General features: G+C 39.1%; 1 protein-coding gene across 30 annotated transcripts in view, besides 3 other annotated features; it reads right to left on the reverse strand.

Moving 5' to 3' along the window:
• The window catches only part of TNPO3 (transportin 3), a 102,009-nt gene that overhangs the window by 19,117 nt on the left and 58,215 nt on the right, over nucleotides 1–24,677 (reverse strand). For 14 of the 30 annotated variants that reach the window (NR_167924.1, NR_167914.1, NR_167922.1 and 11 more), the window contains 11 exons: nucleotides 24,088–24,234; nucleotides 20,506–20,613; nucleotides 18,698–18,789; nucleotides 16,660–16,799; nucleotides 13,428–13,619; nucleotides 10,867–10,958; nucleotides 8,947–9,023; nucleotides 6,670–6,730; nucleotides 5,682–5,822; nucleotides 2,518–2,634; nucleotides 1,567–1,661 (listed from right to left, as the gene is read on the reverse strand). Coding sequence is in view for 12 of the 30 variants with exons in the window: in XM_047420091.1 (XP_047276047.1) it covers nucleotides 1,567–1,661; nucleotides 2,518–2,634; nucleotides 5,682–5,822; nucleotides 6,670–6,730; nucleotides 8,947–9,023; nucleotides 10,867–10,958; nucleotides 13,428–13,619; nucleotides 16,660–16,799; nucleotides 18,698–18,789; nucleotides 20,506–20,613; nucleotides 24,088–24,234 (1,262 nt within the window). In the remaining 18 variants the exon portion in view is untranslated. Of the gene's footprint in view, nucleotides 1–1,566; nucleotides 1,662–2,243; nucleotides 2,407–2,517; nucleotides 2,635–5,681; nucleotides 5,823–6,669; nucleotides 6,731–8,124; nucleotides 8,231–8,946; nucleotides 9,024–10,866; nucleotides 10,959–13,427; nucleotides 13,620–16,659; nucleotides 16,902–18,697; nucleotides 18,790–20,505; nucleotides 20,614–24,087; nucleotides 24,235–24,677 lie in introns of all 30 variants that reach the window. The other 16 variants (NR_167916.1, NR_167923.1, NR_167920.1 and 13 more) reach the window with 12 other exon arrangements.
• Nucleotides 8,749–9,307: an enhancer, noted in NCBI's record as "NANOG hESC enhancer chr7:128622104-128622662 (GRCh37/hg19 assembly coordinates)". NCBI's record gives its function as "activates a minimal SCP1, AML or CMV promoter by ChIP-STARR-seq in naive H9 embryonic stem cells {active_cell/tissue: H9 hESC(naive)}" and the evidence as "EXISTENCE:reporter gene assay evidence [ECO:0000049][PMID:30033119]".
• Nucleotides 10,633–10,802: an enhancer, noted in NCBI's record as "experimental_97543 CRE fragment used in MPRA reporter constructs". NCBI's record gives its function as "activates a minimal promoter by MPRAs in K562 erythroleukemia cells, with activity observed for the non-introgressed 7:128624073 or rs12534421 variant allele {active_cell/tissue: K562}" and the evidence as "EXISTENCE:reporter gene assay evidence [ECO:0000049][PMID:34662402]".
• Nucleotide 10,718: a transcriptional cis regulatory region, noted in NCBI's record as "Neanderthal adaptively introgressed variant 7:128624073 (GRCh37/hg19 assembly coordinates) or rs12534421 in the experimental_97543 CRE". NCBI's record gives its function as "modulates activity of the experimental_97543 enhancer by MPRAs in K562 erythroleukemia cells {active_cell/tissue: K562}" and the evidence as "EXISTENCE:reporter gene assay evidence [ECO:0000049][PMID:34662402]".

The raw sequence follows: 24,677 nt of genomic DNA on the forward strand, positions 1-24,677 counted from the left end.
ACTACTATCAGGTTTCTAAGTTCCTTTAATATACAGGGAGAATCTCTTCAGAAAAAGGTACAGTATACTCCAAACTTGTTTCATCATTTGTATAAAGAACATTTTTAGGGACTAGTTTTCCAAGGAATACATACCCTAAGAAAACAGAGGGTGTGCCGGGCGTGGTGGCTCAGGCCTGTAATCCCAGCACTTTGGGAGGCCGAGGAGGGTGGATCACGAGGTCAGGAGATCGAGACCATCCTGGCTAACACAGTGAAACCCCGTCTCTACTAAAAATACAAAAAATTAGCTGGGTGTGGTGGCGGGTGCCTGTAGTCCCAGCTACTCGGGAGGCTGAGGCAGGAGAATGGCGTGAACCCAGGAGGCAGAGCTTGCAGTGAGCCAAGATCACGCCACTGCACTCCAGCCTGGGCGACAGAGCGAGACTCCGTCTCAAAAAAAAAAAAAAAAAAAAAAAAAAAGAAAACAGAGGGTGACAGCCCATCCAACAATTCTATCAACTGAAAAAAAAAAAAAAAGAAAAGGAAAAAAAAAGGGTTTTTCTAACCTATCCAAAAACTAACAAAAAAAAAGGGTTCAATATTCAATCCTGCCAGGTACGGTGGCTCACGCCTGTAATCCCAGGACTTTGGGAGGCCAAGGTGGGCGGATCACCTGAGGCCAGGAGTTTGAGACCAGCCTGATCAACATGGCAAAACCCCGTCTCTACTAAAAATACAAAAATTAGCTGGGCATGGTGGTGGGCACCTGTAATCCCAACTACTCGGGAGGCTGAGGTAGGAGAATCACTTGAACCCAGGAGGCAGAGGTTGCAGTGAGCCGAGATCATGCCATTGCACTCCAGCCTGGGCAACAGAGTGAGAGTCCATCTCAAAAAAGAAAAAAGAAAAAAAATCAATCCTAAGATGAAACAATCAAGTCAACATTACTTTGCATTTGTAAATGATATAACAGTTGGGCTTTTGTTGTTTCGAAAATAATGATTTTTCTTTTTTTTTTTTTTTTAATGCTGATATGGTAACAGTTTTGGTTCAAATTCCTTAGTTAGGGACTAAGGAATTCAAGCAGAAGTTTGGCAATCATATTATCAGTGCTACTGATAAAGTAGGCTGTGAGTAGAGCTGAGAAATACAGTATGAGATAACTGCTAAGGCATCTTAAAATCCCAAACATTCTTTATTCCGAAACTGATTATATCTAAAGGATGCTAAGCTTCTCAAAGAGAAGGTTGAGGTGAAACATGAAATCGCAACAGCACGAACAGTTAAAACCTACAGAGGACTGTAGAGATGATCTAGTCAAGTGTTTTGCCAGGCACACTGCATTGTCTTGTGTGTGAGCCCTCCTTCCTGGCAGGAACTCAGCTCCTTTATCCCTTGCTTCCCGCAATACTCTGCGTCACTGCTGGGGATATATCAGCTTGCAATTTACCTTTGGGTTATGAATCATTAATCTACTTACTCCAGTGACTTCATTTTACAAGAATAAAACAACCAAGGGTCAGATGGCAAGACTAAGCAGTGATAGGATGAGCAATTAAGAAATGGGCTCTTCAGAAGGATTTACCTGGTGGCTAGCCGGAACAGGTCATCTACAGTGTCAGGGTGATTCTGGAGACCATTCTGCTGTTCTAGGAGCTGAAAGGTGGGGATGCACAGTGCCTAAAACAAAACAGTGATTTTAAAAGAAATGCTTTTTCAGAAATGCCACAGCATTCAGACTTGCCAAATATTTATTACAATAAGTACAAAAGGAACAAAGAAGAAAAGCACAGCTGGGAAAAGAAAAAGATTGTAATGAGAATCTGATCAGGAAAAGAAACACATAAATCCTTCCCAGTTGACATAAACAGTTTTCACCTATGAAGTCCACATTTAAGAAAGGGTTGAGAAAACAGATTTTAGCTGATAAAACTCAACAGATGTCATCTCAAAGTTTTAGAAATTTCTGAAAGCAAAGATTCTATTTAGGTATAGTCCACTAAGGGAGTGGAAGTTTTTATAATAATTATGAAATATCAATTTTAAATGAAAAGACATCTTGGGAAAAGAAACAACATTCTTCAACTCAATATTCCCCTCTGTGGCTGGAAGGGAGGGAAAAGCAGTATCTGAGGAGCTGTTTCCAATGCTATTATTAATTCTAAAACCCTCCCTGCTGCTAAGTAAACTAGTCAGTTGGCTGTTCCAGGCAAGAAGTTAAAAATACAATAATGCTTGAGCTTAGAGATTCATTTTTCTCACCTCCTCCCCCCTCCAAACACCCTATCTCTGGAAGAGCATAAACCAGGCAGTAACATGTAATAATCATTACACTCATGTGGTCAGTCTCTCATTCTCTCAAACAGGCCTGTTCAGAGAACAACTGGGAAGCTTCCACCTCCCTGTTATTAGGAAATCAACATGCCTGGGGGAAAACATAAAGAAGCAACAGAATTAAAGACATGGTAAAGAATACGCTGCTAGGCCTTCAGACCCTCTAGGCCTGATGCGTCTACACTCCTCATGGAAAAGATACCTGGAGCATGTCTAGCAGTCCCTGCCGACAGCCTTCTTCCATGCCATATTCATCCACAAGGATACTGCCAAGGTACAGGAAGCAGGAATGCTGATGTACGTGGTACACATTCACCATCTGTTGAGGGAAAAAACAATTAGTTCAATGCTTCGTCCTTCAAAAAGTACCAACTTACGAAGCTGTCTCCAGGAAGAAATTCAGAGATAGATTGGCTTCTTCTCTTTAAGGCAACATAGTATAAAGCTTCTTAGCACTATTTTGTGAAACACAGGGCTCAATATCTCAATGATTTTCAGGTTCTCTATTCTTCCAACCCTTTGACCTTTCATCTTCCCAAGACAATGCTGTATAAGAGTTAAAGCTAGAAGCTATCAGGGAACTCATGGATTATTTGCAAAACCCCAGCACAGAATATTTCATCCAGTACGTAAAAGTTGCTCTCATTTGCACTGTAGATAAGTCATACTTTTAAATAGGATATATAGCCACAGTTGGGAAAACAGTATCAAACACCTTCATCTTGGAGAAGACAGTGAAAGCATTGTTTAAATTTTGAGTTGCTCCTAAACCTATTTTATCTTTTAAGTAAAAAATAGTGTTTTCTACGAAGATATTTGGATTTCAACACAGCAAAAATTTTAACACAATATGCACATTATTATTTTTTTTTTAAGAGACTGGGTTTCGCTCTGTTGCCCAGGCTGGAGTGCAGTGGTGAGATCTTGGCTCACTGTGGCCTCAACCTACCAGGCTCAAGGGATCCTCCCACCTCAGCCTCCCGAGCAGCTGGGACTATAGGTGTGCACCACCATGCCCGGCCACGATATGCGCTTAAATGATTTGTTTAGAATTTTTACTCCACTATCCTCCCAGAATTAAGAAACAATTGTACACTCACCTATTTAAAATGCCACCACAGTACATATGTATTGATCTTATTACATAAATTCAACTCTATGAACTTGGGACTGAAAGGATACAGTAACTTAATTCTTCTGTTGGCATATGCCATGGAATGAGCATGAGATGGGAGCTATGAATCCATTCCATGTTGTAAACTCAAAATTATATGCTCTACTAAGGAATGATTAAGTCAAGGGTTGCCAAACATTTTCTTAAAGGGCTACTTTGTAAAAAGTATAGATCTTATCCACCATTCAGTCTTCTGCCCACTCAAGTTTGCCAGTGTAGCACAAAAATGACCAATAGATAATACGTAAATGAATTATGGCTATAGCTCAGTAAAACATTAAAAAAAACACAAAAACAAAAATAGGTGGCAAGGCCACTGACTATCAATTGCTGGCTCCTGAGTTAAGGGATTTTTTAAGGATAATTTTCATTTTTGTCACATGTACTGACTCTAGAACACACTTCCTATATAATAGTGCTACCTACTCTATTGGGTTAGTCATATACTTAACTGGCAGGAATTAAAAAACAGTATCAAAGTCATGAGGGTATCCTCCAACAGCAAAGGGGCAGTCTATCAAGTTGTAGTAGACCCAGAATGTATTGCACTGAAGGGGACACTTGACCAGAGGTGGCAATCGCCTAAATGCGAACATACATTATTGTGCTCAGCATATAGTGAAAGTAGAGAAATCACTAAAAATTAAAATTCTGTTGAAATATTTACCTGTACAATCTTTAATCAAATCTATAATTTAGAGAGGCAAGGTTATCCAAGTACCAACACCGCACCAGCATGCCTGTGCCTGTGGTTGAGGGCACCTATGATGCAGAATTTAAGGGGGAACTCATTCTTTTTTTCTTTTTTCTTTTTTTTTTTTTTTGAGATGGAGTTTCACTCTGTCACCCAGGCTGGAGTGCAGTGGCACGATCTCAGCTCACTGCAACCTCCACCCTCCGGGTTCAAATGATTCTCCTTCCTCAGCCTCATGAATAGCTGGGACTACAGGCGCCTGCCACTGCGCCTGGCTAATTTTTTGTATTTTTAGTAGAGATGGGGTTTCACCATCTTGGCCAGGCTGGTCTTGAACTCCTGACCTCGTGATCCACCCACCTCGGCCTCCCAAAGTGCTGGGATTACAGGCGTGAGGCACTGCACCTGGCCAGGGGGAACTCATTCTTAAGGCCAGGACCTCCTTAAAATCTGCACCCTAGGTGCTCTCCTCTCCCTAGGTGGAGCATGGTCACTTCAGGTTGGGTGGGGTATGACTCTAGCCTGGAGCTCTGTGACTGTTTTCCTCACAGCATGGGTACAAAATTTCAGAAAGCACCTCAGAGTCCTGCAAATGCAGGATTGGCACTTTGCCTTGTGTCCCTAAATCTTGTGCCCTAGGCACTGGCATCCTGGCCCTGCTCTAAGGTTAACATCAACACAATTACTTAGTGACTTAAGCATAGGCATCTCATACAGTTCTAGATGAGAATATGATTTTAGAGAACATCATTTAGTGAGTCATACCATCATAATTACATATCAATCTTAATGACTAAAAGAGTCAAATTTATTTTTTGACAAGAGACTTCTGTGGACAACTAACTGTGGCCAAGATTGAAGAAAATCCCTTTGGGCAAAGAAACAGCAAAGTCTGACTTGCTACATTTTTTCCCCAAGGATCTCAATATAAAAATGCTTACCATTAGTATATAAGTACTGAGCCCAAGTCATTCGCTTCACAGAATTTCACAATGGACTGTGTTGCTACTTAGAATACTGCTATAGCTACTATACAGAAGCGATTTTAGGCTGTTTCCCTTATAGACAATGTACCTATCACAGGCACTAATCTCTTTCAAGTGTTTTTTTAGTTTGTTAATAAATACAAAAGTGTTTCATTTCATCAGCAAAGTTTTTGTTCTAAAGGCTCCTATTTCAAATTCTTTTTTTGAGATGGAGTCTTGCTCTGTCACCCTGGCTGGAGTGCAGTGCAGCTCCTGGGTTCAAGCGATTCTCCTGCCTCAGCCTCCCGAGTAGCTAGGATTATAGGTGCCCGCCACCATGCCTGGCTAATTTTTGTATTTTTAGTAGAGACAGGGTTTCACCATGTTGGCCAGGCTGGTCTTGAACTCCTGACCTCAGGTGGTCCACCTGCATAGGCCTCCCAAAGTGCTGGGATTACAGACGTGAGCCACCGCACCCTGCCTATTTCAAATTCTGTACATGGAACACGTCCCCCCGCAACAGATAACTTTACCTGTGTGACTAGTGGCTGCAGCAGTGCTGCAGATCCTTTGCCTACACAGCGAACAGCAAAGCGCAGGCACCTGCAACAACGCTCTACAATCCGATTATCAGCTCGGTGCTTATTTAGAGTCTCGGATAAAACTGGCCATATCTGGGTCAAAAGTAAAAGAGCACAAGAAAGAAAATAATCAACAACTAGGACCTGAAAAACTGCTAAGTTGGTAACACCTCATTTAGCTTTTAAATAACTGGGACAAAACTTTCTGTATAGGAACACACATGGCCAGCATGCTCAGGTTCAATAGACTACCCACCACAAAACCCTATCACTTAACAAGAGAAAACAGTGCCTCTTTAGAACTGGAAGAGCATGTCTAACTTTGCTAAATGACAGAGATACACAATTTCCTAAACTTCAGACTTCCCGAAAGGCTATGAAAAGAATTGGTACGAGCTATATAGGAAGAGATGTTTAAAGATAGTTCCTGGAAGGTGGAAGAATTTGAACAAAAGGACTAGAGTTAAGGAAATGGCATCATTTGAGACCATTGGACACTTAAGAGTATTTAGTGTTGATGTAATTTGTCCTCTGAAGTCTCAAAAGCAATTCTTAAAACATGACTTTTGATCCTCACATAACCTTCAGTGAAAAAAGTAGAGGGGAAGTATGTCATCACTGAGGAAAACGAAGTCACTAGCTTTGTCAAAAATATTCTGCTGGTATTGATCAGGCCTCCTAGTAACTCTAGGAGTCACACAGTGAATCTCTTTCTACCACTTCTCTGGTCTTTCAAGGCATTCCCTTGCAGCCTGTTTTGTTATCAAATCTAAAATAAAAGACATTTGGATGGCTCTGTCCCTCATTTCATTGAAACCACATCAACAAACTGAATCTCCCTATGAACTTGGAAGACAGTATCTTCTCAGGTGAGTTACCCAAAGCCCTGTAAGGAAAAAAGAAGCAAGCCTTGATTCCACAAGCATCCATTAGCACTTACTTCCTGTATGACTTTCTGACACGGATGAGTCTGTCCATTTTCCACAATGGGATTGGTATGCCTGGGAAAAGACAACAGCCCAAAATAGTGAACAAAGACCAATTTCACTGAGGACCCAGAGCCCTGATCCCTGCTTGCTTACTTAGTATCATTTTCACCAAATAAAGAAAACCAGATGATAAAGTCATTTACTTACATCACCTTTATAAGCACATCCTTTAAATCATCCTATCATTTTTTGGCCACCTTTAAGTCACTTCCAATAGAACACGCAAATTCAATCCAACTTTGGGTAGATGGGCTGTGAGGCACTATGGCTATCTTTTCCATTTTTCCCTTTATAAACCCAAATATGGGCTGGGTGTGGTGGCTCACGCCTGTAATCCCAGCACTCTGGGAGGCCAAGGCGGGTAGATCACCTGAGTCCAGGAGTTCAAGACCAGCCTGACCAATATGGTGAAAACCCGTCTCTACTAAAAATACAAAAATAAGCCGGGCGTGGTGGCGCATGCCTGTAATCCCAGCTACTTGGGAGGCTGGTGGTGGTGCATGCCTATAATCCCAGCTACTTGGGAGGCTGGTGGTGGCACATGCCTATAATCCCAGCTACTTAGGAGGCTGAGGCAGAAGAATCACTTGAACGTGGGAGGCAGTGGTTGCAGTGAACCGAGATCACACCATTGTACTCCGGCCTGGGCAACAAGCGGATGAAGTAAAACTCCATCTCAAAAACAAACAAACAAAAACAACAACAACAACAACAACAAAACCAAACCTGAATATGTAGTTTCTTCCTAATTAACAAAAAAATATACACAGGTTGTCTAAATCCACTACTAGAAACCAAGTATTGCTTCATTCCTTGCATTAAAAGACTAAAAGCTATAGGAACTGTAGTCCAAAGATGTTGTAGTTCTAGTTTGAATCCAATGTACTTTCCACAATCAGTCAAATACAACTCCTCTGTCTAGTTCGATAGCTCACAATTTGAAGAAAAGCAGGAAAAAAAAACCACACATAATTAACTACAAACTACTTTAAAGGAAAGCTACTCTTTAGTTTTAAAAAGCTCAACAGCAACTTAATAAAAATTTAACTTTAATTCAAGTATTTACATCTATTTCAGATTTTCTTTCATTTACTGTGAAATAAGGGTTACTGTTAATAGGTTCTCAGAATAGCATGTTAATAGGGCTCTCCTAATTATAAAAGGAAAACATTGCACCAACTGAGAGAAAGATATCTGTTGACAATAACTAGTAACACATCACCTTTTTAAATATTTATCCCACATAGGCTTCTACACAATGATTACTATAACATTCCAGTTATACATGGGTCCCAAAAATTATAAATTATGTTACTCAGTAAGAATTACTCTTTGAAAACTGTCACTCAAATGCCTTTTTAATCATTAGGCTCCTCCTCTTCACTTCAAAGATGCATTAATTTCACCTGATCACTGAAGAAACTTCATTATATTTTTGTACCCATACACTATATACAGCGATGGTTCTGAAAGTATGGTCTCTGGATTAGCAAGCAGAATCATCAGCATCACCTGGGAATTATCAGAAATGCAAATTTTCAGGTCCTACCCAAGATCTAATGAATCAGACACTGAGGGGATGGGATCTAGCAATCTGTGTTTTGATAAGCCCAGGTGATTCTGATGCATGTGGAATGATGATATATGTGAAAGTTTGGTCTTTTGGTCTCCACAGAACTGGAGACCAAAAGAATTCCATTTTTAAAGAGTCTTTTTTTTTTTTTTTGAGATGGGGTTCTCACTCTGTCACCCCGGCTAGAGTGCAGTGATGTGATCTTAGCTCACTGCAACCTCTGCTTCCCAGGCTCAAGTGATCCTCCCACCTCAGCCTCCCAAATAGCTGGGACCACAGGCCCATGCCACCATACCCAGCTAATTTTTTATATTTTTGGTAGAGACAGGGTTTTGCCACGTTGCCCAGGCTGGTGTCGAACTCCTGAGCTCAAGCAATCTGTCTGCTTTGGCCTCCCAGGTGCTGGGATTACAGGTGTGAGCCATCGCTCCCGGCCTTCCACTTTTTAAAGAGTATTTTAACACAAAGACCTACCAGGAATGAATTCTTAGAATTTGCCTTTGCCCCAGAACTTCAGGTAACAGCTGGCTTAATTAGTCTCCAAACATAGGGAGATACTTGGAAGTATGAGGAAAAAATACTTGCTTACTTCAATATACAATGGTTTCATTTGAGCCTTTAACCCAAGTAAGGCATCCAGAGTCTCCTTTCTTACCTAAATATCACTGCAAGGCGATCTAAGAACACTGTGGGATCTGAGGATATGCCATTGCTGGGCTCTTGAGACAACAGCTGAAGAGACAAAAGGACATTAACACCCAATTGTCACATGTACAAATCTACAGCCAACACTGCAACATACATCAACCTTTGTCTCAATCTCTGCTTATTTCCTTATATAAAGTCCTAAAAGTATATAAACTCCTAAAAGTTACTCAAATGGCGCAAATTTTAATTTATATTGTCAAATTATTTTCCTCCATCTTATTGCATCCTGGCCAAGACTACATATTGCTACATTTTACTGTCTGATTACTGAGGAGTAGAAAACAGTATCATTTGATTTTTTTCCCATTTACCTTAATTATTATTATTACATATTACATAATATAGATTGTATATATGTTATGTTACACAATATGTAAAAGATTATATATTTAGCTTTATATTATAAGGCTTTAAAATTATTATAGCTTTGTAATATATTTTAAGCAAATTGTCTCTTACTCTTCTTTCCTAAAATTTCTTAGATACTCCCATTAGTAAATCATCAGAGATGAACTACAGAATTATTTTATCAAGTTCTAAAAATCCCATTGGTATGTCTAAAGTTATTGCACTATAAATATAACTGGAGAAGAGTTGACATCTTTATATCCTTTAAGGAAACATGGTAGGTTCAGGCGTTGATTGCTAACTTGAATGAATTCTTTTCCCATTACATTTTCTAACTGATGATTACCAATGTAAACTAAAAATAAAATCCTAAGTCTCCCACCAACTGAATAGGTCCCTCCTGTTGCCATGGGGACCCCAGAGAAACCTTAAAAACGGAGCTCTCAGCCATGATGGGAAGGGAGGTCAGATATGTTTTGTTATACTCCCTATCTTTCGGAGTTTAGGTGCAAGTGGCCAGCATTAATGTTAAATGGAGATCATAAGACCAATCAAAGACTTTTTTTTTCTTTTTTTGAGGTGGAGTCTTGCTCTGCCACCCAGGATGGAGTACAATGGCGCGATTTCGGTTCAATGCAACTTCCGCCTCCCAGGTTCAAGTGATTCTCCCGCCTCAGCCTCCCGAGTAGCTGAGATTACAAGTGTGCGTCACCACACCTGGCTAATTTTTTGTATTTTTAGTAGAGACCAGGGTTTCACCATGTTGGTCAGACTCTAACTCCGGACCTCAAATGATCCACCTGTCTAGGCCTCCAAAATGCTGGGATTACTGGCATGAGCCACGACACCCGGCTGATCAAAGACTCCTTTACCAAATTATAAACAAGATCTGAGGCCACAGAAGGCAAGAGTTAAGTCACATCTATAGCCCATCAATCTTATTAAACTGTCAGAGTTATGGCTGACCCTGACATAGCAACCTTAACTTAAACATTCCTTTCTGCTAGCTCCAAGCTTTTTGTTCCTTTAACCAACTGCAGATTAAAGAATCTCTGAATCCACTTATGACTTGTAAGCCCCCACTTCAAGACAGCCCATCTTTTTAGACTAAACCAATGTATACCTTCCATATTTTGATTTATGTATTTGCCTGTAACTCCTACATCCCTGAAGTGTATAAAACCAAACCATAATCCCACCACCTCAAGCACACTTTCTCAGAACTCCTCGAGACTGGGTTTCCCTGGGCTGTGGTCACTCATACTGGCTCAGGACAAACCTCTTTAAAACATTTTATAAAATTTGGTTTTTCTGTTAACACTGATATAATGAGAATCTATTAATTCTGAAATATTTATTGTATGCAGCTACTTTGATTACATTAATTTTAATAAATTCTTAGTGCATTTTCTTGGATTTTCTAGGTAGACAAAAGATCTGTAAATAAGTAATTTCATCTTTTCATTTTTAACATGTAAACATCTTATATTTGTTTCACACCTTCCTTAATTGGACTTACCTTTTTCAATGCCATAACCTGAACAGAACATAGTTCACTAAGACATTCGGTAATCTTATCCAAAGGTAATCGGGCTAGGACAAGTGCTGTCCCTGAAAAACAAAGGAAGATACAAATGAAAAATAAACGCTGAATTGAGGTAACTTAACTGGACTACATCATGTGAGTGACCAGAAAAAGCGAACTGGTTTGGTTCCATTCTTTTAAAAAGATCAGCATTGTTTTTTAAAATGACAACACTTTGTTATTTACAGTTGTTTTTTCTTTATTCTTTATTGGGCTCAGAAGGCTAAGACTGATTAACACTTACAACTGAAGTTAATATTTGTCAAAGACTTTTAAAATCTCCTTCACAAAGCCAATGGCAAAGCTATTTTAAAATGTATACCATAGTGTAATGTTTCTCAGACTTCCCAGAGATTCTGATTTAGTGGGTCAAAGAGAGTCTTTATTTTTGATAAATACTTCCAGCAATTCTTATCACAAGAGAAATTCTGACATAATGCTTTTAGAAGAATGGGCTGCAATTAGAGATTTCACTCTTACACCATAACACTCTCTGTGAGGTTATAAGAGACATTTTCTTTGGGCTTCAGTTTCTTTATGAAATAAGTGACTTGAACAGCAAAGTAACAGTTAAATTTGCCTTTCTTTCATTTTAAAAAAAAGTTACAAAAGCCTCCTACCCCCTTTCTTTTTCCCTCCTAAACAAATCTTGACTTAGAACTCCAATAAAATAGGTTAAAAAGAAAAACCAAAAGAGGCAGTTAGGTTCAAGTGGAGACAGAAGGTCCAGACCCTTCCTACTCAGCCTCCCTCTTGCTGCAATCCCCATTCTAACCCCACCAACTGCTGAAACACCTTCCCCAAATCCAAAGGATTACGTATTAGCCTAGGTCCCTTCTAGGTCAAAAAACACCTTGAATATAAATGTTTTCACTTCCTGAAGTTTCATTCAACAGAACAGTAATTTATCCCTAAACCTTCAAATTTGAATTAAAAAAACAGAGTGAATCTTCTTGGCCATCTATAAGCCATAGACGAGTTAGACTTTTCTTTAAAACTAGGAGGGAAAAGCCTAATTTCAGCATGATTTTCCTTTTAATTAATTCCTATAGAAAAGTATGTTACTTTAAAAAGTTTTCAGCCAGGTGTGGTGGCTCATGCCTGGTATCTCAGCACTTTGGGAGGCCAAGGCAGGAGGATCACTTGAAGCCATGAGTTCAAGACCAGCCTGGGCTATATAGCAAGACCCTGTCTCTATTAAAAATTTAAAAAATCAGCTAAGCATAGTGGTGTGCACCTGTAGTCCTTGCCACTTGGGAAGCTGAGACACGAGGGTCACTTGAGTCTAGGGCTTCAAGGTTACAGTGAGCTATGATCATGCCACTGCATCCCAGCTTGGCAACAAGCGAGACCCTGTCTCTAAAATAAATAAATAAATAAAAATTGAAAACCATTTTCTACATCTATTAGATACCACTGAAAATTGGGAGGCCACATTGTACTACAGGTTAGACCTCACTTCAATGTCAAGGTTAATAAATTCCACTAGAAAATGACAAGAATATTTGACTCTGATTTATCTGTGCCTATGAAGGGAAACAACAAAAACCCAAGGTACAAAAAGAAAATCTGATATAAAAAAGCACAGTCACACTAGCTGGTAAGGAATCTGGTCATATGAATAACAAAGGACAGAATTCACAAATAAGCCATCCACTCTTGCCAAGGCTAATTGTTTAACAAGTCACAGAGGCTTAGAAGATATCACACAGGTTATTTTACCCAATCCTTTAATATACCTCAATCTCTCTGATTTACCAGTGATAAGAATTTCATTACCTCACAGGGCACCCCAATCTGTGTTCAGAAAGTATGGTTAAGTGTTTTCTTCCTAGAGCCAGTATATGCTTCCCTATAAATGGCTGACAAGTGACTACTCATAAAATAAATATGATCCTTCTTTTATAAGACCATCTTTCAAATATTTAAAAATAGCTACCATGCTTAAAGGCTGTTCTAAGTCTTTTCCCCTAGCCTTAATATCTCTAGTTCTTCTATTAAGTCCGAGCCTCATCACAATGGCTGTTTGCCTCTGGATAGACAATCACTCAGTATAAGCTGATCAGTAATGGTTAAAGGCTGCTAAGAGACCAGGACCCCTGACTTCTACTCATGGCACTGATCCATGTATACTACCTTTCAACTCCCATTTACCTCTTTGGTATGGCAATGCTTCTTTGGTCTCCCTTTTTATTCTTCCAACTTAAAAAGCAGCCGTGTTTAGTTTGAATATGTTGTCTCTACCCAAATCTAGGTCGGTGCTATATATACCGCAAGTAGTATTAATTAATTATATAGGCTTAAGATAATCCAAGAAAAGAATGCATGTACATATAGTCAACACTATCCCCTCTAGTGGAAAAGCCATCTTCCTCATCTTATAAATTCTTAAACACTAAGTACATTGCAACTGAAAAACTGGGATATGACAGATGTAAGATTACCCCAGGTAGTGGCTTTGAGGTGACTATTAGTGGTTAACATCAAGTGAGTACCTTTTAGCAAGCCCACAGCAGCTTCTGGAGACAACAGGAAGGAATCGAGGGAGCGGGCAATCTCCAGGAGTCCATTAAAGTGCTGAGCCATGTGATCTCGGCAGACAGAGCAAATGTTATGAATGGCTTTGGCTGCAGCAGAAGCCAGGGGCTTTTCACACAGGCCTTTCATCAAATAGCCCAACACAGGGTCTAAGAAGAAAAGCCAAGCAGAGATTACATATCTGAAACTAAAGGAAAACTTCTAGTTTATTAAAACAGAGGTATACTTGCTTTTCTTTTTTTAAAGCAAAAGAACCCTTTTAAAAAGTGAAATGTGTTCAGAACCACAATAAATAAAACACATAAAAATAGAGCTGATCTCACTTACATATTGTCAACAGGCCCTGAGACCCATCTATTTCATCTTCCATTTCTTCCCTCAGGGCAGTCAACGTTAACTCCCAGGGATTCACAGAGCAGTTTGTAAACCACTGACTTAAGAGCATATATGGCAATCCAGGTATTAAGAATATGGCAATGTAAGAAAGAATGCAAAGCTCAGGGAGTTACAATTATACCGAGGGATGAATTACTTGGTAAAACAGCCTATATGAATCAGGACAAGGATAGTTGTCTAAAGCTGAAACTTTTATACTTGCTTCTTTCTAGTTACAAAAGGCCTTAAAAATAGGCAGATGAATCTTTAGCACTTCTAGATGAATTAATTCAGTATGTTTTAATTTTACCAAATGTAAGTGCTCCAAGAAAGTTTATCATAAAGTTGAATTTCTATAGAGCTAATTCTACTCATCTTTTTATCTTCTTTTATAAAAATCAGATTTTTTTTCTATAGGAAAAAAACCTTAGAAAAACCATATATTGTTTTTGGGGACGGAGCCTCACTCTGTCCCACAGGCTGGAGTACAGTGGCACGATCTCAGCTCACTGCAACCTCCATCTCGCAGGTTCAAGCAATTATCCTGCCTTAGCCTCCTGAGTAGCTGGGACTACAGGCATGCGTCAAGCCCAGCTAATTTTTGTATTTTTAGTAGAGACGATTGTTTCACCACATTGGCCAGGCTGGTCTCAAACTCCTGGCCTCAAGTGATACGCCTACCTCAGCCTCCCAAAGTGCTGGGGTTACCACTGTAAGCCACCACGCCTGGGCAAAAAACCATGTGTTGTTAAAGGTCATTGTGAGTACTTTATATTGACCTTGTAGCAAACTGTGAAAAAGTGGAAAGAATCAAAATAATAACATCTTTTTTTTTCTTTTTTCTTGAGATGGAGTCTCGCTCAGTCACCCAGGCTGGAGTGTAGTGGCGCAATCTCGGCTCACTGCAAACTCCGCCTCCCGGGTTCAAGTGATTCTCCCTGCCTCAGCCTCCCAACTAGCTGGGATTACAGGCATGCGCCACCAAGCCCAGCTAATTTTCCTGTATTTTTAGTAGAGACGAGGTTTCGCCTGTTGGCCAGGTTGGTCTCGAACTCTTGAACTCAGATGATCCTCTCGCCTCAGCCTCCCAAAGTGCTGGGATTACAGGTGTGAGCCACCATGCCTGGCCAATAATAATGTCTTAAAGCCCATTTAAAACCATTATGTCCATTTCTAGTCTAATGATCAATACAATGCCCAAACTCAGCACAATCTGCCTACCTCCACCAAAAAGAAAAAAACAAAACCAAAACCCCACCCTGTTTAGTCTAGGAATCAAAAGACCTAGAATCTAGAACCTAGCCCAAGCAACTCTAATAATGTAGACTTCTGTGATTCCCAAATTGGGTGTTTGTGGTTTTGACTATTCTGAGTATGAACATAGAGCAATCTGTCTACTGCTGAGGCACAAATCTGAATGAGATACTGCAAGGTGGCACTGAATGATAAATCTTTTGATAAGAGTCTGCAAGTCAACCTAGATTTGCTGCTTTCTGGACATTAACTGAAGGTATTAAAACAAACAAATCTACTATGTTTCTTGGTGGAAAAATGGTTCAGAAAAGAAAGCCAAATGTTGAGCCAGATAAAGTGCAGAAATCTAAGAACTAAAAAACAGCCATATTGAAATCACTTGGAAATAGTATGTTGGGCCAGGCGTGGTGGCTCACGCCTGTAATCCTAGCACTTTGGGAGGCTGAGGCGGGCAGATTACTTGTGGTCAGGAGTTCGAGACCAGCCTGCCCAACATAGCGAAACCCTGTCTCCACTAAAAATACAAAAATAGTGGGCATGGTGGCATGCACTTGTAATCCCAGCTACTTGGGAGGCTGAGGCAGGAGAATCACTTGAACCTAGGAGGTGGAGGTTGCAGTGAGCTGAGATCAGGCCACTGCATTTCAGCCTGGGCAACAGAGCGAGACTCTATCTCAAAACAACAAAAAACAAAAACAAAAACAACAAAAAAAAGAAATAGTACGTTGAACTTAGAAAGCAGCTCAGTGTATAGAAACAAAGAACACATTCACTCTTTTTAGCATGTGTTTCAGTCACTAAAAACAGATGTATAAAATAAAATCAAGTAAAAAGGCGATAATAAAGATATACACAGGAAACACATCAAACTTAATGATATAATACTAATCACAAATTTTGGTATTCCTAAAATTCTCAGAATGTATCCCTCTTAAATGTCAGGGCTTGATATATATTACCCTGGAAAAGTCATTTCGTCTCTTTGGGCCTCAGTTTCCTTGTCTATAAAAAGAGGAGGTTAGAATAAATCATTTCTAACTTTACCTTCAATTCTAAAGTTGTTACGATCTTTAGTTATTTTTTCAAGTCAATAAGGACACCCAGAGGTTATATAAGTCTTCATTTTAATTTGCAGTTATTTAGTTTTGAATAATTCTTGGCTTTTAAATGAAGCATGTATTACAAGTGAAAAATTATCTCCTTTGCTTTGGTCCTTGAGTAGCTTCTAGTATGTTAAAATTGTAAGAGATTCTGATTAGCTCAAGCATATGCCAAAGACTAACAGAGATAGAAATGTTCATGCTTAAACAGAGTACTAGAAGCAAATTGTTCACTGTTTCCCTATCTGTAGATCTAATCTTTCAAAGGTCCTTCTCCCAGATCAGATTATAAATGTTATATCAAATAAGCACTAACTTACAACATATTGTTTACTCTCAGTTTCTATAAACACTCCGTGTTAAAAAAACAGAAAGGAAAACACATGCAAAAGTAAGAGATGAGAAGAAAAATCAGAAAAATGACAAGTTAGAAGTGGCAGAGGAGAGAGATTACACATACCAAGGAACTGAGGATTTCGATCAACGACTTCACTCATCTCTCCAACCAATTCAATGCTGGTGTATCGCACAGCCGTATGTACGGTCTCCGGGAGGCGGACAACTCCTTCTAGGACTTCCACAAGTGTTGGATTGTTTTCCCTGAGTACAGGCGGTAAGTACTCACAGTTACTGATTTCAGAGGTTATATTCTGGCCAAATAACAGGCTGTGACGACACACAGCATTGCTAAAGGGCTTCTTTCTAAACAACCATTAAGATAAAAGTACTTGGTATTTGTTATGAAAGATTTTCAAATCTTCAAAAAAGAGGAAAAGATAGAAATGAAAGATATTGTTTCAGGAAAAGCATACTGCTCCTTAATCTTCTGAATGCCAGTAAAGTGCCTACAGACACATCAAGCTATCAAATGCAGGCTCTTTAAATTGGAGAGGCAGACATTTACTGTGGATGAATGTCTTCTTCTAAAGAATCTATTTTATTTAGTCCTATAGCTGCAGCACCTAGAACAGTGCCTGGCACATAGTGGGCACTCAATAAATATTGCTGAATGGCTAAACAGATGAATGAATAATTCTCATAGACCATTCTCTGTTGTTTTGCTCCAAAAGATTTCTTATAGCTGGATATTGGAAACTTTAAGAACAGGTTAAGTATGGGTAGGCAGCTCACTAATTGAAAGAACAAGAAAATAAGCTGCAGGAATAGATTAAGTTGCCCCGATTTGGAACATGAGGGAAAATTAAAGTTAACCAAACACTTTCCATAGCTCCATGAGTTTATCTGTTCCCTCTCCTCCCTCTGTCCCCCACAAAATATACTGGCTAACGGCCTTTTGAGTAGAGTGGAGGATACCCCTAAAGTGGCAGAACTTAATCCAGAAATGAAAGATGTTTAAAATGTAAATAATATCCTGGATTACAGCAAGACCACCCTCTGCTAATAAACTAGTCTATTAAGTCCTTTTATATGCACTAAAAAATTATAATCATGCAGTTGGCTTGAAATGCATATAAACAAAAAAAATATCAAATCTCTCATTTATGACTTATGTTTCCTAGGGACACTAAGTCAATTAACGAAGACTATCTAGCCATCATTTTTCAAACCAAGACATATTAGTTAGAACATTAATGATTTTAATAATCTTCAGACTTGTCACAGAAGGTTCAAAATGACACCAAAATTGGTTTAAGAGTAAATAGTGTGGTACATAATTAAGGACCAGGACTTCTTAACAGAGAAAAATAAACCTATTCGACCTCCTTGAATATTTACTGGATTAGAAACAATATGCCACTGACGAGGCCCTGAAAGGCAGCTAAGAAAGAAGCATTGTGCTTTTTATAAATATCTGCCTTAACCATCTCTCCAATCAAGACTGAATACAGAGCTTGACTGCAGGTATCAGGTCACAATTCAGCGTGGCAGATATTAACATCGATTTATATACTCATGGCACAAAGTAAATTTTGTCTCTAGGGCTTCGTGTCATAAATAGAATTTCTATGGAATTAGAAGTAAAATTTGAATAATTTGAAATTTTTCAATGGCAATAACAAAAACAGTAATTGCCCTTTAGATCTGGCTCTTTTAGGTGAAAAGGTGCCTATGCCTTGCCTCTCTGAAACAATGTAATTAATTTTGTAAGAATAACTTACCCAAGGTCACAAAAGCAGGAAACCCAAATTAGTGTCTATTCAATTGCTTTTAAGCAAGTACCAACAATTAAACAGTCTAACAAATTCTTTACCATACCAACTTTCACAAGGGAGCCTCAGTTGGAAAAATAAATCAGCATTCTATTCCTAGCATCAAGAATAAAATAATTTCAACTCTAGGAAATGCTGTTAAAACATGGTATCAGCAATTCAGGCTACCCTGGACTAGACTCTAGAAGTCAGAAGACTAGACGGCACAACAGAAGTAAGAAGTTCTGAAAGTCTCCAGGTATATACCATATAAGAAAAAAAAAATAGTGTCATTTTCCTTCCTCTTGATATTTAGAGTTCCCAGCAAAAGACTTATGAGACACTCACGGATCAACACTCTTTGCTATAGCAGCCATGATAAAGAGAACCGCTTCTGTCACCTCCCAGGGTGGGTTGCCTTCTTTCAGAGTAGAATATAACTAGAGAAGAAGAGGTGGATTATGGATCCATTAAAAGGAAAACAGAATGCCAAAACAAACAAAACAAAAAATCCAGTTAAAGTAAATCCTGCTTCTTGTTTCTAAATCTAATTACCTCTCAAGCCAGATGAGAATATTATTTTCTTTTTTTTATATCATCACTAACTAGGAGTAACTATTTTAATATTTGAAATAAACCCATTTAGACCCGCAAGAGTTTATCAAAATTATCATCTGCCCCCAGAAAATGACTACTATGAGAAAAACAAAACACAGTATATGAGTGTCTTTTCCTGGTCCTGATAATAACTGATAAATACATAAACACACTTAAAATAGAGATACAATGTAAATCCTCTATATATGTATTGGCTTTACATTTCTATTGTTTTAACTACTTGTCTGCATCAACACTGGTAGTACTGACTGAATTCCTAAAAAGCAGCTGTTTAGAAGCACCTATCACAATACTGTATCCAAGCAGAATTAATTTTTTTAAAAAAAGGTACACCTAGCAGAATACTCAGAGATGTTCTGGTCCACAATTTCCCAGATTATATCCACCTACAGAATGTGACTAAATAATATTTTTATAGTGAAATAACAGACACTGCTAGGAAAGGCAAAATTAAACAGCTCTCTTATTATACAACTTCACAGAGCCTTTAATATACTATTTATACCATTTCCTAATTTTAATTAATAACTTTTTTTTGGCAAAAAATATCTCATGGGGTTGGTGTTCCACAGACTATATCTTGAACAACATTGATAATTTACATAATTTGTAAATTAAGTCAAAGGATTGAGAAGATCAAAGGATTTCTCAAAGCCATAGAGCTAAAGAGAGATGAGCTGAAATCTGAGCAGAGGTCATCTGTCTAAGATCCAGGGATCTCATTTAAGTGGCTTTCTAAGAATCCTCAACTCTTCATAGATGGGTCAATAAGCATGCTTTGCTTAATATAATGAAAATAGTTATACTTTTATTAATACTTTTTAGATCATATTACACCCAAATATACAAAAAATGACTGAGTTACCAAAAAAAAAAAAATTAGGTTAGTTTAGTATTGCTGTGACAAAGCTTCCAAAGTGGTATTTCAGAGCTCATTAGAATATAATACAGCAATATGAAAACTGCCTGAAATTAAACTAATGTTAAGTGATATGGAATGATGATGATTGTAACCTTATGAGGTAAAATGTTACTCAGTGATTGTCAGGAAAACCCCTGGACTATGAATCTTCTACTCTAGCATAGTCACCTCTGGGACGAAACTGCACAGGAATCTAACCATAAGTGTGGACAAAGATAATGCCAAATAACTACAAGAGTTACCAGGAGTTGGTACGTAATTACTAAAGCAGAAACACTTGCCTATTGTTCCTGGCTAGGTCCAAATTCCCTATAAGTATCCTAGAGGCTTTAATGCTTATCTATGATCTTCTATTCCAGCTGTACAAGTGGAACAGCAATCAGTGCAAGCATACAGAGTAAACCATAACCGAATCATCCATAAACTGCAACTGACTTGTAAAATGTTAAATAAACATAGCTACTATATGCCAGGCAGTGTGCTAGGCACTTGCATATCTATTATCTCATTCAGCCACTAAAATTGAAGAAATAAGATGGAACATTCACAGAAGACACAGAAGTGAATACAATTAAGGTGACTAGTAAAACTGGAAACAATCTCCAAATAGGCTTACCTGAGCAAAACACTCCATAGACCCTATCAAGAAAATCAAGTCCTTTACCAGGTCTGATACCCTCATGCGAAACTCCCCAAAGTCATCAGTCTCCTCAGGAACCCCCTCCTAAAATATCAAATCAGATAACATCTGCTTTAAACTCACTGCGGCTTTCAATGACCTCTATAAAATCAAGAAGAAGAAAAAAACCATTAAGCAGTCAAGTTTCAATGAACAAAAGTTGCCTAAATCACGAGGGTATTTTATTTTAGACAGAGGGTTTCCTAAATTGTGAGGTATGCCAAGTCAAGACAACCTATTCTCTGCCTTTACCAGGAGAAAATCTTTGGTTTGTGTGTGTGTTTTGTATTTTATTTTTATTTTTTTGAGACGGAAGCTCACTCTGTCGCCCAGGCTGGAGTGCAGTGGTGCGATCTCTGCTTACTGCACCCTCCGCCTCCCAGGTTCCAGTGATTCTCCTGCCTCAGCCTCCCAGGTAACTGGGATTACAGACACACGCCACCACACCCGACTAATTTTTGTATTTTTAGTAGAGACAGGGTTTTACCATGTTGGCCAGGCTGGTCTCGATCTCCTGACCTCAAGTCAGCTGCCCACCTCGACCTCCCAAAGTGTTAGCCACCGTGAGCCGGCATGCCCTGCTGTGTTTTGTATTTCTAAGCTACAGCTTGTTTTGTTGTTGGAAAAATGTGGCTTGGGGAGAGTGAGAAGTGACCTGGAAGAAGTAGTAAATTAAGTGATAAGCCTATCTAGAGAAGGTCAGCTCTTTAGTGACAAACAAATTGAAGATTTATGTTTCAAGATCTACCAAAATCAACCACTGTCACAATAACTTCACACAGAAAATATACTTTTATTTTTATTTTTGAGACAAGGTCTCGCTCTGTCACCCAGGCTGGAGTGCAGTGACATGATCTCGGCTCACTGCAGCCTTGACCTCCTGGGCTTAAGCAATCCTCCCACCTCAGCCCCGGAGCAGCTGGGACTATAGGCATGCACCACCACGCTTGGCTAATTTTTATATTTTTTGTAGAGTTAGGGTTTTGCCATGTTGCCCAGGCTGGTCTCAAACTCCTGAGCTCAAGCGATCTGCCCGCCTTGCCCTCCCAAAGTTCCGGGATTATAGGCATGAGCCACGTGCCTGGCCTCAGTTAATTTTTAAAATTTTTTTATAGAGGTAAGGTCTCACTATATTACCCAGGCTGGTCTCAAACTCCTGGGTTCAAGTGATCCTCCTGCCTTGGCCTTCCAAAGTGCTGGGATTACAGATGTGAGCCCAGCCCAGAATTTTAAACTTAAAACATTTCATGTAGGTGGACAGATATAAAAAACAAGCATAGTAAAATATGAATAGTGGAATTTAGGTGGTAGGTATACAGATATTCTCTATGACATTATTTTATGTTTGCTGTGCATTTGAAATTTGTCATTAAAAAATTTAAAGATCATTTATATTCCATGGTTTCCTATTCCAAACACTTCTGTATCTTTCCTATTCTGACACACTTCTGTAAACAGAGTTACCAATTATAAGATGGTTAAAGGCACGTACAAGAATCTTGGGCCCAAATACCTAGGAAAAGCCCTTAGTACTATTGAGAATTGCTAATCTAGTTCAAGCTCCTTGCTTTAAGATGAAGAAATTAAGGTGAAGGAATGAGGAGGAAACGATGGCTATCTCAGATGAGATAATGGCTAACATTATAAAGCACTATACAAATTATAAAGCGCTATACACTTACAAGTGTAAGAAATTACCCGCAAGGGAAATGGTGCCACAGAATTAGCAAAGGCAAAAAAGGGATCAAGCACAGAGCCATTTAAACCAAAGGGGCCCTGCTTTATAAATCAGGCTTCCAAGTAAAATGTGGTTGAAGACAGGAGTCTTCACTTTATTTTATTTTTTTGAGACTGAGTCTTGCTCTACTGCCCAGGCTGGAGTGCAGTGGCGCAATCTTGGCTCACTGCAACCTCCACCTCCTGGGTTCAAGTGATTCTCCTGCCTCAGCCTCCTGAGTAGCTGGGATTACAGGAACCTGCCACCATGCCCAGCTAATTTTTGTATTTTTAGTAGAGACGGGGTTTTGCCACGTTGGCCAGGCCGGTCTCAAATTCCTGACCTCAAGTGATCCACCCGCCTCGGCCTCCCAAAGTGCTGGGATTACAGGCATGAGCCACCACGCCCAGTTGGATTCTTCACTTTAAAAAATAGCGGGGGTGGGTGCAGTTTGAAAACCACCAGACTAAATCATGACTAAGGTTGTGTGGAGATACAAAATACCATGACTCAAACACAATACTAACATTAAAATTAAGAGAACAGCACGTGGGATTTAATTGTAAGCAATAAAACTTACTGCAGGTCCTAGATTAAAGGACGGATTCAACCAACCAACAGGATGAAATCGATGTGGCAAAATTTGAAGAGACTAAGCATGATGTTTGAAGAGTTTTCTAATAAACTAATAATTTTCTAGTATTTTTTTCTAAGCAAATAGATTTCTATATTCTTTTAAACTACAAAATCAGTATAAATAAGATTTAAAAAATGTGTATCTTCATGGGGCAAAATCATACACACAAATATTTCACTTTTGTATTAGTTTTCATCTAACCACTTATTTTCTACTATTTAATAAGGTACAAAATTTTGGCCAGGGGCGGTGGCTCACACCTGTAATCTCAGCACTTTGGGAGGCTGAGGTGGGTGGATCATGAGGTCAGGAGATCGAGACCATCCTGGCTAACACGGTGAAACCCCATCTCTACTAAATATACAAATAATTAGCCTGGCATGGTGGCGGGTGCCTGTAATCCCAGCTACTCGGGAGGCTGAGACAGGAGAATGGCGTGAACCCAGGAGGCAGAGTTTGCAGTGAGCAGAGATCACGCCACTGCACTCCAGCCTGGGTGACAGAGCGAGACTCCGTCTCAAAAAAAAAAAAAAAAAAAAAAAAAAGAGTACATAATTTTACATTCTGATTTTTCTCTTACCATATCATCATTTCACTACCTTTTAATTGCTGCATCAAGTTGCTAAATCATAACTCTTCTTATATAATTCATATAACTCTTGTTATACTGCTGTACATGGGTTTATAATTTTTACTTTTACAGATAACATTTTGTATATAAAATAGCTGTTTTTTTCTTCTGCAGATTTAAGATATACTCCCAGGAAAAGAATTACTGGTTTAGCTGGAGTGTTTTGCTTTTTTTTTTCCCTAAATAGACCTAACAGATTATACTGGTACTGACTTCTTCAGTATAAGCTGTAGAGTCTGCCAATCCTCCCAACTCAGCTTCCTGAGTAGCTAGGACTACAGGCGTGTGCCACCAGGCCCAGCTAATTTTCTTTTATTTCTTTTTGTAGAGACAGGGGATTCCCTATGTTGCCCAGGCTGGTCTTGAATTCCTGGGCTCTAACGATTCATCTGCCTTGGCCTCCCAAAGTGCTGGACTACAGGCATGAGCCAGGGTGCCCAGCCAGGTTTATTATCTATCTTCTCAGTTCCTTTTCAAGTTGGCACTGACAAGAGGAAGAAATTAAGATTTGAAGAGGTAGAGAAGGGAACTTACATGGTCTGGTTCCAGCTGGCAGTGTCGAGCCAAGGCGTGAAGCAGCCTCTGAATGTAAGCTTTGAAGATGCCATGAATAACTTCATCGTTAGTTTTGTACAAATGTTCCCCCAGTCGGTACCAAAAGTTAAATGAAATTTCTACTACCTGTTAGGTTAAAAGAGATGATTTATTTGAATGGGAAAGGAATAGAATAAGAAGACATTTTATTATCACCACGACCATATAGGAAGAAAGATATATTTTTAAATAATATGAGTGGAGCCAGTTAAGAAGTCACCTTTTCTCTAGCAGATTTACTATTATCTCCCCAAATTGTCTTCCCACGTTAGGCCCAAATCTCCATTTAGAATGACTGGCTTTACATTCCATTTAGTCCTGAGGTAATGCCTCCAAAAGTATACTGAATTTTGAATTTAGAGAAAACAATAACAGACATGGAAGTCTTTATTTTTATTTATTTTTTAGAGACGGAGTTTCATTCTGTTGCCCCAGCTAGAGTGCAGTGGAATGAACACAGTTCACTGCTGCCTCAAACTCCTGAGCTCAAGTGATCCTCCTGCCTCAGCCTCCCAAGTAGCTGGGACTAC

The sequence above is a fragment of the Homo sapiens genome, chromosome 7, assembly GCF_000001405.40.
Source record: "Homo sapiens chromosome 7, GRCh38.p14 Primary Assembly".
In the NCBI taxonomy this organism is placed as follows: Eukaryota; Metazoa; Chordata; class Mammalia; order Primates; family Hominidae; genus Homo; species Homo sapiens.